The 14,585-nt window shown below is 42.4% G+C and overlaps 1 protein-coding gene across 4 annotated transcripts in view; it reads right to left on the bottom strand.

Annotated features, from left to right (window-relative positions):
* The window catches only part of CTNNBL1 (catenin beta like 1), a 178,089-nt gene that overhangs the window by 57,894 nt on the left and 105,610 nt on the right, over window positions 1–14,585 (bottom strand). For all 4 annotated transcript variants that reach the window (XM_024451947.2, NM_001281495.2, NM_030877.5 and 1 more), the window contains one exon: window positions 11,177–11,358. In XM_024451947.2, coding sequence (XP_024307715.1) covers window positions 11,177–11,358 — 182 coding nt within the window. The remainder of the gene's footprint in view (window positions 1–11,176; window positions 11,359–14,585) is intronic.

Below are 14,585 nucleotides of genomic sequence, written 5' to 3'. Positions count from 1 at the left end.
ATTTATGATCTAAAAAAACCAAAACAAACCAAAAGCAGAAGTGCACTGCTTGTGATTCAGTTTTTGGAAGCTGCAGGAAAATCCTAGGTTCAGTTCCTAGGAAGGCCAGGTACTAGCTGTGTGACCTTCAGAAAATGACAAGTTATCTGGGCCTCAGTGTTCTCATCTATAAACTATGGGTAATAATACACAGCTCACAGGGTTATTGTGAGGATTAGGTGAAATGAGCTAATATATTTAAAAGCCTATTAGCGGACAAAGAACAAAAAAGGCCCCCAAATGGCAACATTAGGAAGCATATCTCAGTAAAGATTAAGTGTTCAATTTTAATAAACCAGATCCCACAGTTAATTATTGCCTAGTTCCTAAGTTATTTCCCCATTTTGGCACCACCTACAAATGCTGGAGAAATAACTAAAGGAGTCTGGCTATTTCTCTACTTTTGTTTCTACATTGCTGGCATTTGTTTTATCTATAAAAGAGATATACTACACCCTAAACTATTTCTATACAACTTAATCAAGATTATAAATGAAAACTAACAGAGTCCTACTGACACAATAACAGAGCATCAATGGAAAATTCTATTTCTAAAATAAGAATTCTGGTAATGCTGCCCCTAAAGAGCCAAGTTTCTACCTGGCAAAATGAAAAACACAAAAGAAAAACAGGAGTGATAAGTGTTTCTCCTTCATCCTCCCCAACCAAGCCCTCAATATCAAAACTGAATTTGGGCTAATTAGCGGAAACTATCAAAATAACTGAAATTAGTACTATACCTATGACCTGTAAAACTTTGGAAGAGTCCTCTGGCAGCAGAGCATAGTTAAAACAACTAGCCTAACAGCAATGGCTACTAACACCTAATGAATACTTACTAGGTACCAGGGCACCAGTACCGTCCTCAACACTGTCCAGAGATTAACTAAGTCAATCCTTGCAACAGCTCTACAGGTCCTTCCAGGTCTGGCTTCTGCTTAACTATCTAATCTCCATACTCTCCTCAGCAAGGACTGGTACCAGACTGGTCTCAGAGGACACTCCTGTGGAACTTGGTAAAAATACAGATCCATTGACTTTATGCAGACTGCTGGAATCAGAAACTCTGAGAACACGTCCCCAACATTTTCAATGAGATTCCAGATGATTCTGATGGTCAGCTAGGTTTAAGGCTCACTGCAGTTTGTCCCTCCCAACTTTTTTTTTTTAATACATGCTGCTTTTTCCATTGACTTTCCTTTACCTGGCTAACTTTTACCAAAGGTTTGGCTTGGGGGCCACATTCCTGGGGGGGGCTGTTTCTAATCACCAGTTCTCTCACTACCCAGGTTGGACAGGGAGCCCCTCCTGTGCTCCCACAGCGCCTCATACTTCCTTCTACATCTTTACCTTGTAACATAAATGCAGGTTTCTGTGTCTGTCTCCCTAGCTGAGCTGTCAGTTCATTCACCTTACATTTTTACCTCATAATAGAAATGCAGGTTTCTATGTCTCCCTGGCTGGGCTGTGTGAACCTGTTCAGCTTCCAGCTACAGCACCAAGCCTGACACAAAGCAGGGACTGGTGGTTTGTTTAATATAAGAATGAATGAAGCCTCACTGACCTACCTTTGGGACATCTACCCATAGAAATAGACCCTCTGCAAGGGCAGTCTAGAATGGGAGCTTCAAACTGAAACAGAAGAGTCTGGTACCTATTTGAAGACGTAATGAATTTGAAAAGTGCTAGTATAACCAGGATCGTAACTGAGGGTCCAGGGTAATATGCCATCATGAAAAACAGTGGCTGTCCCATTTCCCAGGAAGCTCCTGTTATGACCCAGCCTATCCACATATAAAGTCCTGGGTCACAGCTGGGCTTCACAACCACAAAAGGCAAGAGGTTTATATCCTATATGTAAACATGAAAACTGGAAGAGGTAGGGACCCATTCTTTTTTGAAAGAAGGCAAATGTGCAATAACTATATTACCATATTGAATGCTACCTGCTAGAGACTACGTCAGACACTCATGATCATTATTTGTCACAAAACATTCTAAGAAAGGTTTTATCAGGCTTATTTGACTGAGGAGGAATTCAAGGTCCAGAGAGAAGAAATAACTTGCCCAAGGCCACTAGCTAGCTTGCAGATACTGCTGGGTTTGAAATCAGGCCTATCTGCCTACAAAAGCAATCTGCCTTCTATGACTCTGTGCTGCCTCTGGATTACCAACCAGAAGACCACTGGAGCCACCCTGGTGTTGGAAGAAGCTTTAGAAGTAGACTTAGGCTCAAATTTTGCTTTGTCACTAATGTGCTAAACGGTATTTTGGTAACTGACAAACTCTCTGAAACTCACCTGTGAAAAGACGACAGAAATGCCTAATTCATAAAGGTACTTTATGTGCACCTGTAAAGCCCTGAGGCTTAGTAGACAGATGCCCGATAAATGTGAGGTGACCATTCATCAGTTTTCCCCACTCCCTCGAAAGAGAACAGTTGCTTCCAGAATGGCAAATTCATCCTGTCTCACTGTCTTCTTCAATGGCAAACAGCTATGCTGTGATCTACTTGGGAGCTGGGTAAATCCTTAATATGACTTGAACCAGTTAACAAACCAGATGTGCACCACTCAAAATCATCCCCTCAAGCCTGATGAAAGGAACCCCATATCCAAGCACATTGTTTATTTCAGCATCCCTACATTTTGTCATCCGAGGTCAGGAATGAGACAAGCAGCTGGAGGGAAAGAAAAGGAATTGATCCAGAAACTATTCAATTATAAGATTTTCAAATAGCAACAAAAAACAACAGCAAGACATTTTCATCCTTATTTAACATAAACTGCTGCTAGTACATGGCTTAATGCCATTCTTAAATACTGTTCACTCTTTACTGGCTTATTGTTCTGACCACTATAACCAACTCTGTGATTGTCAAGCTTGGAGAATACAAATATGGGCACAGGGGTGGTGGCAACAGCCTCTGAATCCTCTGTTTATAGCTTAGACAGAGGAGAAATAGGGACCTGAGGTTCCTTGGTATATCCTCTCGGGGAAGGTTTTTATCTTGTATTCCACATAGAACTGGCATATTTACAGCCCGCCTCTAGGACTGGTAGATTCAGGAAGGAAAAGAAGTTCTTCTGGCAAGTACCTCTAAAATTACCAACATAGAAGGAGGAGGAATACAAACTGGAAACTCATCCTCATTCCAGCCACTAATACTAATGAAACAGGGTCTGTGCTAAGCACTTGATTTCTGTATTATTTCATTTAATCTTCACTTGTTACCCTTATGAGATAGATTCTAAGAGTATCTCAATTTTACAACAGAAGAAATTACAGGCTCAAAAAGGCTAAGCAACTTTTCCAAAGTCACAAAGCTGGTAAATGACAGAACCAGGAGACCAACCTAAGTCCTGTCTTAATCCAAAACTCATGTTCTTCATCATCCATATCACAATAACTAGCTATACATGCCTAGTGCCCACTGTCCCCTCTGCCATTTCCTTCACTGGCATAATAATTAAATACTATGTATCCTTCGAAGAGTACTCAAATGTTATCTCATCTCTTAAGCCTTCCCAGAATCCCTAAGGATACTCCTTTCTCTGGGCTTCTTCAACCACTAATGAACATTTATTATAGTGTGAAGTCTGGAGTCAGTATTAAAATGATCTAAACCAACATTTATCAACCCACCTATTATGGTCTAGATGTGGTTTATCCCCACCAAAACTCATGTTGAAATTTAACTGACAATGTTATGGTGTTGAGAGGTGGTGAGACCTTTACAAGGCACCTGGGCTATGCGAGATCCACCCTCACAAAGGGATTAATGTAGTCTGGTGGGAATGAAGCAAGTCTTGCTCTTGCTGGACTAGATTAGTTACTGCGAGAAGGTTGTTATAAAGCAAGGCTGTCTCTTGTGTTTTCTCTCTGCACACGATCTCTTCCCTTTTTGCCTTCCACCGTGAGTTGACACAGCATGAGTCCCTCACCAGATGGGCTGCCTGATCTTGGACTTCTCAGCCTCCAGAATTGTGAGCCAAATGAACTACTTTTCTTTATACATTATGTAGTCTCAGGTATTCTGTTATAGCAACACAAAATGGACTAAGATACCCCCGACACTGTGTTAGATTTGCATGAGTTACTTCAATTAATTCTTACCCAAGAAGGTAAGTATTAATTTTGATCTTAAAGATAAAAAAAAAACCATGTATTGAAAACTACTACAGGACAGATGCTGAGCAGCCTTATGGTACAACCATAAATTGGTTAACTCATTAACAACACTCTTTCATAATGCTCTTAATGACCAGCATGTGTCTCATGTTGATTATAGCCAGTACATGATATAAAGATGTTAAATAAATTCATTTATTCATTCACTCAATATTTACTGAGCACCTACCATGCACCAAGCACTATGATAGGCAGTACAAATGCCAAACAACAATTTCATCAAGTTGTTTTGCCATCTGTCCCTAATAACTTCTATAATTTGAAATGGTAAGAGTCCCTACCACTATGATGACCTGTCAAAGCACCAAGGTCTTCTGATCAAGAACTCTTGACTATCAGCAATTCAGAGAAGAGCAGGCTAGTCTGGACCCAGGACAACAAATAACAATGGCAATGACTTTGTGAAATGAGTGTGACACGTGTGATCAGGAGCTGAGGAAGGGTCTGACTCTCAGTTTAGCCAATTACCCACTGTATGACCTAAAGCCATGATTTCAATGAGCCTCACAATGACCCCATCTTCAGAATGAGAAATAACACCAAGCTTGAGGGGCTGTTGTAAGGCTCAAACATGATTGGATGTGTAAAGACTCTCCTACAGATGCTGAATATAGGGAGTAACAAATGAACATATTGGCTGAAATTCTAATGCCTTTTGTTTCAGTCTGTACCATAATCTCCCTCCCACCAGAAGTGTCTTCCTCTGTAAGCATTTCTGTTCTTGTGTTCCCTTTAACAATGAAATATTCTTGTCTAGTATGTCTTTGTAATTGTAATATAGTTTTGTGGTAAATATCTATAAAATTGCTTTTTCCCCCATGTCTATTTTCCTACTTCTTCAAACTGTAAATTTGCTGAGGGCTGGGAGTCTCTCCTACCTTGGTGGTAACTTTGAGAGGACATGAGAATTGGGAGACTAAAGCAGAGACTTATTAAGGTTGCAGTGAAGTTCAGGAGAGATGATGAGGGCAGAGACAGTGGCAATGAAAAGGACTGGTTCAAGAGATTTTCTAAGGTGAATTCATAGGGCTGATGATCAATTACACGTGGGGAATATTAGAGTTAAGCATGGCATGTTGATTTCCACAGTGGGTGGTGGGGAGGAGGCTGGTGCCATTTACCAAGCAGAAAAGATGACAGCAGTGAAGGAATGGATATGGTTTTGAACAAGCTGAGTTTGAATATCTGGTGCTGTCTGCTGATTATTAGCTGTGTCAACCAGAGGTAGGGAGTGAGAACTAGACTGAAGATCTGGGAGTCAACCACAGATAGATGAAGGTTAAAGCTGCAGGAGTAGATGAGATCACCCAAGGAGAATGCATGGAAGGAAAAAAGGGGAACTAGGGGAAGACACTGCCAATCTATTCAAAAACGAATGCCTGAGGGCCAGGCAGAGGAAAAGTATCTGGAGATGGAATACTAGGAAGAGCAGTCTCCCCCAGGACAAGCATTGTATTCTGTTCCTTGTCTCCACTGGATCTGTCACATACTAGGTCTTTGTTATATTTTGAACATAGCAGGAGCCCCAGTAAAAGCTGGCCTCAAACAATGCCATGTCATTACAGCCCAGCACGAAGACTTTTAAAAATGTTTCTTTTTGTCTGTGTTGGCTAAGCTCCCTTCTTTTCTGACTGCAGGAAAGGTTCTGCCATTTCCTTCTTCTAATCCTAGGAGGCGGCGTGGGAGCTCTGACCCGATTTCCTCACTGTTAGGAAGATACACAAGGCAGCCGTATGCTTCCTGATATGTGGAGTCCACTGGAATCACTTACAATTCTTTGCTGATGACAGAAAAGTATTCTTTAAAGCACTGACCTATTACCAACTGCTGTCACTGCTGAAAAGGTAAAAATGCGTGTATATACCTAGTGTGCACACCACACACCTACATGCTGCTCGGTGGCTCACCCTCTTAAAGCTCTTAACAGCCTCCAGGGGAACTGTGTTAAAACAGCGCAATTAACTAGAACTGCTACAAACTCAATAACTCACATACCTAATGAAGCAATACGAGGAAAACTGGACCTATATTAATGAGAATTTTTAAAAGAGACAAGAAGTAAAGGTCGGATGCCATTTCTGGATCCCACCTCTTTTCTTCTTCCCTCCTATTCTGAAGCAGTTAATACCAAGGAGACAATATATACTGTGCTATTCTTTTAAAACCAAGGAGGCAGCCAATCATGCTAGTGCACCCAAGGGCAAATCATTTCTTTCCAACCCATCCCACAAGCTTAGTGCCTCCCCTGATCTATTTCTGAAGGTTTTATTATGCAAACCTAAATGGATTTCAATTATAATAATTCTTTTCCTTCCCCACCCCAAGTCACAAAAGAGGAACTAAATTACCAGCATTCTAGGTTGTAAGGGCAGTTTTGCTTTTACTCCCCTCTTTAGAGTCACCTTAATCTAGAAACTCCCATCTCTCAAGCCCTTCTGTTGACTTGGGAACACAGCTGTTTTTATGTCACTCACTACTTAGCATAGCTTGACTCCTGACATTCCCATCAAGAATGGATTTGCCCATTTGCCCACAGTTATCATGGAGCAATTAGACCACAGGCCAGTAAAACCAACCTACCCTCTCCTGGCCCTCCCACAGTAGAGGTGTGGGCATTTTCTCTGCCTGGCCATCCCCATGGGTATGTGTGACTAAAGCCAGGGTGGGCAGAGGTGGAGACAGTTTAAGGTCTCTTATGGTGCCTGCTTTATTCTGGGGTCTATGCTAAGCATCTACATGTCATCTCATCTGACTCTTGCAAACACCCTTCATGGTAGATTCTAGCCTCATTATTTTACAGATAGGACAAGTGCGGCCCAGGGAGCTTAGGAACTTGCCCAAAATGGCACAACTGATAAGCAGCAGATCCATCTGTACCACCTCAGGCTGCACTGCGACTTTGGGAGTCAGGGGAAGGCCCTAAGAGGTGACAGGGGCTATGACGGGACCAGGATGGACTTAAAGAGGCAAACCAGGATGTGTGATATCATCTGAGGGACCAAAATAGATGCCCCTTTATCAAATAAGATGGACCCTAAGGTTAAGGAAATAAATGTCACCTACAGGTGGAGGGTTCAGGGCTCAGCTGGCATAGCAACTCCCTGAATTCCCATGGCTACAAGAAAAAAACACACTCTTGTGAAACTCCCTAACAATATCAGGCAAATTATCAGACCCCTCCTAACTCTGATTGGACAGATGATTGGCCTTGCAAACATTATTTTCTGATAAGCAACTGCAGACTTCCAGACAGTTTCAACAAGCTCAGAGAGACTATACACAAACTTTGTGTCTTACAGTTCACCTTTTGATATAAAGAGCCAAATCCTACCTCATTTTAATGCTAAAACCCTGCCCCAGAGTGAACATGGAATGTGTTACATATGTTTACCCATTGCGCATGCACTTGACTCCCCTCATAAATATGTGTAGCTTTCCCCCAAAACCTGCTGAATGTGTATGACTCTTTTGTCTAATACAGACCTTGTGAGGCCTAAAACCCAACCTGCCCTTTCGTTTTTTGAAGACAGATCACCTTTAGTACACGCCACAGACTGTCTCTTTCTAGTTTACAAACTTGTATCATCAACAAACCTCTCCTTTCTACTAGTTAGCCATCCTGGTGCTCTTGTGGACAACAGTGACAAGCGCTGAAGCTTCACAAGAAAGAAAGGGAAGAGTGTGGGGTAGCTCTCTAGAGCTTCTGGACTGGCGAGCTGATTCCCAGGCCTCAGTGTTCCACCTAGGAGCTGGGCTACCCCTAGGTGCTTGTCACAGGGTGGCCTTGCCTATAGGGAAGGTCAGTGTACAGCAAAGCTCTTAAGGGTGTGGCTCTAAAGTGGGGGTTCTGCCATAATCTCCAAGCCAATGTGACAGAGTTAAAACTTAGGGCTAGCAACCCACTCATTTTAGCATCCAAACAAGCTGGATGAAAGACCCTTCACTCTAGGTGTATGACTGACTGACAACCATCAATCTGAACTGAAATCAACTGTATTGACTTCAACCTTGTAGGTTTCTGAGGAAAGCCCCAAACCCATGTTTGTCCTCAATGAGCCTTTCAGGGAAATGGTTGTTCATTCACACAGTCAAGAAACATTTACTGTGCATCTATCACATGCCAAGCACCACGGGACCAGGCAATGGGATCTAGAGGGGACAAGGCCATTGGTTCCATAATTTCAAGGGCTATGAAGGCAGAGTCCTGAGACCAAGAGTCCACTGAACAGAAGATTCTATCCTAGTCTACGGGTTCATGACATGCTTCCCTGAGAAAGAGACATCAAAACTAAGGACCAGGCCGGACACAGTGGTTCCTGTCTATAATCTCAGCATTTTGGGAGGCCAAGGTGGGCGGATCACTTGAGGTCAGGAGTTCGAGACCAGCCTGGCCAACATGGTGAAACCCCATCTCTACTAAAAATACAAAAAGTAGCTGGGTGTGGTGGTGGGCGCCTGTAGTCCCAGCTACTCATGAGGCTGAGGCAGGAGAATCGGTTGAACCTGGGAGGCAGAGGCTGCAGTGAGCCGAGATCGCATCACTGCACTCTAGCCTGGGCAACAGGCCAGGGAAAAAAAAAAAAAAGGAAAAAAAAAAACAAAAAACAAAACTAAGGACTAAGGACAACTAAAAGATAGCCAGGCAGACAGGGTGGAGAAAAATCACTGCACATGGAGGGAAGAGCATGCTGGAAGCCCGGGGGCAGGAATGAGCTGGGCATGCCCACCAGTATTCCTGATGGTCTGAGGCCACTGTGCTCTAGCTTAGCACACAAATCTGGCCCACTTACGTGAGAAGGGCTGGCACTCGGAGGCCAACAAAGAGCACAGTCTTACCCAGAGGACAGGACAAAGAAACCCTGCACAGTGCGCACTGCTCTGCTCTGCCTCCATTCTCACTCTGCCATTCATGGCCGAAGGCCGGTTTGTAGGAGTGGCAGCAGCTGGCAGGGGTGGCAGGAGTGGAGGGCTGTGCTTTCTCCTTGGAGTTCACTTCTGCTCTCTGGGTACTGGTCCGCTCAGGATGCAGAGCTCATCCTCCCCAGCCATTACAGCCTGAACATGCCTTCTAGGAGACGTCTTACCAAGCCATTGCCCTCACTAACATAATGTTATCACATGCCTAATGCGGTTACTCTAAAGCAAATGGACTGTTACCAGCACGCCACCGGGCACATTTTTCAGAAGAAAAGCAGCTGCTCACTGAATCTGTCACTTCCTCCTCTTCTCAGTGCCATGACCGCAGAGCAGGAGCCTGCTAAGGGCTGTTTTCCTTCACACTCTGTTCCAGCACACTCAAGATGCAGCCTCAGGTCTCTCAGTGGAACCCAGCAGGTCAGCCACAGCATCCACCCTGAGGAGCTTCCTGGCTCACAGGCAACCCTGACAACCAGGGCTTGTTCCTGAGAATCTGAAGGTGTGGCTATCAGAGCTTCTAGTTCACTAGTCCACTTCCCTCATCTTACAGACCAGAAAGGAAAATGCAGTGAAGGGAAGTTAAGCCAAGGTTCCAAAGTCGCACACCTAGTTAGCTGTAGAACCCACAGCTCGGCTGCCTTCCCAGTTCATCTCCTCTAAAAAAAAAAATAAGGATGCCACCAATACTTCATAGGTTGTGAGTTTTAAATATGATAGCGAATAGTGCAGCCGGGCCAGGAAAGTGGCAGGCTTTCACTAAATGTTGACTGTCTGAAAAGTTTATCTCCTAGACCTCCAGGACCCCCTCCATTCCCTCTCCCAGGGACTCATTTTGCTGAATTTTCAGTGGGGAAAATCTAGCACGGGGTTAACATATTTATAGCTAGTGTTTGGTCAAAATGAGTTAAACTGAAGTCTCTACTTGTTCTCAGGTCTCTAGGCCACAGTATTTGCAAGGCCAGTTCCTCTTTTGCTCCAGCCAGATTTCCTGTTGTCTCTGGAGAGTTGATTTGATAGAGAAGATATCACTGAAGATAACCACTGAAGGTAGGTCACACCACCTTCCCTTTAGCCACTCCAAGTTGGGAGAGACTAAGCCAAGTCAACTGGAAAAGAGAGAGGCGGGAGTTCTCAAACTTTCGTCTATGAGGATGAGGAATGCAAAAGATCCTGCAGATACCCATGCCAATTCCACCAAGCACTGACAAAAAAAAAAGCCTCCTAAACCATGGGACGAACATTGCTTCTGAGAAAACAGCCAAATGAGCCAGTCAGCTCAGCTTCTGCTCCTCTCTCAACACACTACCTCCCCACTCCTCTCCACCCGCTCCCCACACTTTAAAATAACCATCCAACCATGTAAATTCCCTGGTGCAAGTGTCTGCCAGCCTCCAGCAGAACTGTCAATGCTCATAAATCCCTGGCCTTCCAGATTGCACTGTGGCTATTTACTGGGGAGAGGGCTGCAGCAGGCCACTAGACAACAGCAGGAAGAGACTGGCCTAGCAGTAACTACTCTGGTTACAGCGTCACAATTCATGGCAGCATTTTGCTGGGAGCGTGCACCATCAGGGAGGAGAAACATAAAAGGGGAATCTGGGCTATAAATAGTTTATTTCGGCAATTCCTGATGTTGGCTGAATCATACTTTAGTACAGAAATACATGAAAGCACCACTCTGGAGGTGACATGTGTTGCCACCTCATTACTCTTTTCAAAAGGGTCTTCCATCAGAGAGACACCTCGCTACAAATTATAGTGAAGAAAACAAAACCCTCACACACAGACTTATTAACAGTCCAGAAGGAAATGGAATGACCAGGATTCAAACAAGCAGAGAACTGGTGCAACAAAGGCTATCAGTGACCTGGGGTCTCTTTTTCATTCATGAAAAATAAGAAAATAGTAAGAAAAAGGTAGCACTCTTCCCCTCTATCCCCCAAACACGTCAGAATTTTTCAAAGTAGTTCACATTTCCCTATTTCTCCTAATGCACCTAAATTAGGCTGACTCCTCCAGTGAACCCTACCTTCATGTTCCTTCTCAGTGGTTCCCACTTTCTTGATCTTCCTGGGAGATTTCATAAAGAGGGGAAAGATGGTTCGTAAGCCAAGAATGTCAACAAACTTATGGCAGTTGTCTGTGCCTTCGGGGCCAATCATGGCATGGTCCAGCACTTTCAGGGCACTGCTCCGGGAGATCTTCTTTTCCCTGTGAACAAAAGAGGTTTCAGATAAGGTATTTCATGGGGAAATTATAGAGCTTAAAAAAAAAAAAGGGTATTTGCTGCCGTACACATTATACATCTAAATGGAAATATTACATACTTGTTAACAATTAGGAGAAGACGTCTACAATAGGGTGGACAAATTCTTACAGTCAGAATGATAAACACAAAAGGCAATACTCAAAATTCTTTATGAAGCATTACCACAATTACACATGAAAAATGTACATTAAAAGTGACTGGAAAGAAAGAGACTAAAATTATAAGAGATTATTTCGGGGTGTTGAGATTATAGACATTTCATTATTCATTTTTCTTTCTTTTTAACAGCTTTATTGAGACAATTCGCATACTATACAATTTCTACCAGTTAAAATGTACAACTCAATGGGTTTTAGAATATTCACAGATATGTCAGCTACCACCACAGTCAATTATAAAACATTTTCATTGCCCTGAGAAGAAACTACATACTCTTAACACCCCCTACCCTCTTCATCCCATCCTGGCCCTAAGCAACCACTGATCTATGTTCTTTCTTATAGATTTGCCTATTCTAGACATTTCATGTAAGTAGATACCATATATTATGTGTTCTCTTATGACTGGCTTCTTTCACTTGGCAATGTTTTCAAGGTTCATCCATGTTGTAGCACATATCAGTACTTCATTCCTTTTTATTGCTGAATAACACATGCCACAATTGGTCCATTTATCAGTTGAAGGACATTTGGTTTGTTTCCACCCTTTGGCTATTATGAATAATGCTGCTATCAACATTGTTTCCTTAGTTTCATTTTTGGATTGCTCACTCCAAGCGTATAGAAATACAATTGGTTTTATTTCCTGCAACCTTGCTAAACTCGTTTGCTAGTTCTAATAATCTTTTAGTAGATTCCTTAGGATTTTCTATATAAACTATGTTATCTGCAAACAGATAGTTTTACTTCTTCCTTTCTAATATAGATGCTTCTTATTTCATTTTATTGCCTAATCGCCCTGGCTAGAACCTCTAGGACAATGCCCAATAGCAGTGATGAGAGTGAAAATCCTAGTCCTTGTCTTAGGGGGGAAACATCCACTCTTTCACCATGAAGTATGACATTAGTTATGGGTTTTTTGTAGAAGCTCTTTATCAATGGTTGAAGAAGTTCTCTTCTATTCCTAGTTGAACTATTGGTATGAAAGAATGTTGGGCTGTGTCAGATGCTTTTTCTGCATCTTATTTTTCCTTTTTCTATATCTCAGTTTCTCATTTTTCCATAATGAACATAGAATTAAAAAACATAAACTATTTTCAAGAAAAAAAATAAAGGTGTTTTTCCCTCTTGAAGCAAAAGGTCATAGAATAATAGTGCCACTGGCTGCTATTCTTGCAGATACTTCCCTAGGGAGCATAATTTTTCTACAATCTTAAATTATTCTTTTAAATACTCTGAAGTAGAGAGAAGCAAGTCAGTCATTTCCTATCTTGCTACAGCTGGTAAATAAACCAACCAAACCAATATGCAATATTTACTGGGCAACTACTTAGCACTGTGGTAGACACAAGAGAAAACAGTAAGAAATGGGTTCTGCTTCCAAAAAAAAAAGCTAAATCTGGGGAGACCAAAGTAATATGAAAGGATCAGAGAAAAGTATAAATCAGCATATAATTTTCCCCATGTATTATTCAATCTACAAATATTTACTGGATAACTCTCACATGATTGGGAAAGATTGCGTCCCAGTTCTCAAGCAATTTACATTCTCAAGGCAGGAGACAAAGAGAAATTGAGATACCTGATAATGGTTAGTGTCAAGGAAGTAAAACGAGGACATGTGAAGGAATGACTGGCGTGGATCTCTTAGATTCAGTTATTAAGGAAAGCCTCCTAAGGAGTAACATTGTGTTGAGAACTGAGTGATAAGATGAATCAGTCATGTAAATTTTAGGGGCAAAACAACATTCAAGACAGGAGGAACAGCAAGCACAGAGGTCCTGAAATAGAAATGAACTGTAGACAGGCGACTGGTGTGTTTGAGGTACGCCAAGGAGCAGAGTGTTCCTAGCTTCGATCAGGGAGGGAAACATGGGCTGTATCAAAGGCCACAAGGCATCCAAGTGAAGAAGTGATTCCAGGAGTAAAGTGGATGCAATTCAACATGTTGGTTCTGAGATTGCCATGTGTTACATTAAAGTGAGAGAGACAAATTACATGTATTTGGGAGAGTGTGGGGAAAGAATAATATACATGTAAATATTTAAAATAAATGAACAAAAAACTAGGTAACAAAATAATAAGTACAGTGGGCACACAAGCAGGGAATACTTTAGTTAGAGGAAGGAGACAGTTTCTGAAGAGATTCCAGTCTGTCAAAAAAGCAAAATAAACGGCCACCAGATTTCACCATCAGGAAGCCACTAGCAACCTTCCAGAGAGCAGTGGTAGGGCAGAAGTGGAGTGAAAAGTAAAAGGAGGTGAGAAAGTAAGAAGGGTGAGTGTAGGTTACGCCTTAGTAAAGCCTGGAGGAGGAACCCCAAGAGAGGGAAGCCGGGTCAAGATTTAAACTACTACTTTTAAGAAAAGCTAATGGTGATGTGGAGACCAAAGATAAACAAGGGAGAAATAAACAGCTGGAGAGAGGTGACTGGTCTTGCAAGAGAAGGCAGTATTCATCAAAAACAGGGTAACAACCCAGAGCCTTTCATCCAATTTCTCATGTGAAAGCCAAAGAAAAGGAATCAGAAATAATATCCCCTTTGGACAGTCTTTTGCAGACACAACACTATTAAAACCCTGCACTATTAAAGTGCTACTGGTCACAAAGAGTGCTATCCTGGGTCAGACTAGCCAGCCAGGACTGGGTCCCAATAGTGGAGGAAAGGTGAGTAGGTACAAAGCTTGCTGATAGTGCCCCTTGGAGCTACAGGCCATCCTGGTTTACTTAGGACTGTTCCACTGAAAGTAACACATCCCAGACTTCTCAATCCTGGGCAAAGAGAGAGCGTTGGCCATCCTACTTCATGCTAACCTATTCCTATCTTTATTTCCCTTGTGGATCAATCAAACAATACAAAGATTCACAAATGCCCATCAATCCAACTACTGAGTTTCAAAGAAAAAAAGGCATATACTATTGAGCATATGTCTTTATGCAGCAGACATTATGCTAGCTGCTAGGAGTTATAAGGTCCTTGTCTTTAAGCAATGTAAGAAGAGGTAAATAA

This window comes from Homo sapiens, chromosome 20 (genome assembly GCF_000001405.40).
Source record: "Homo sapiens chromosome 20, GRCh38.p14 Primary Assembly".
Taxonomy (NCBI): Eukaryota; Metazoa; Chordata; class Mammalia; order Primates; family Hominidae; genus Homo; species Homo sapiens.
This window is presented reverse-complemented; position numbering and strand designations above follow the sequence as displayed.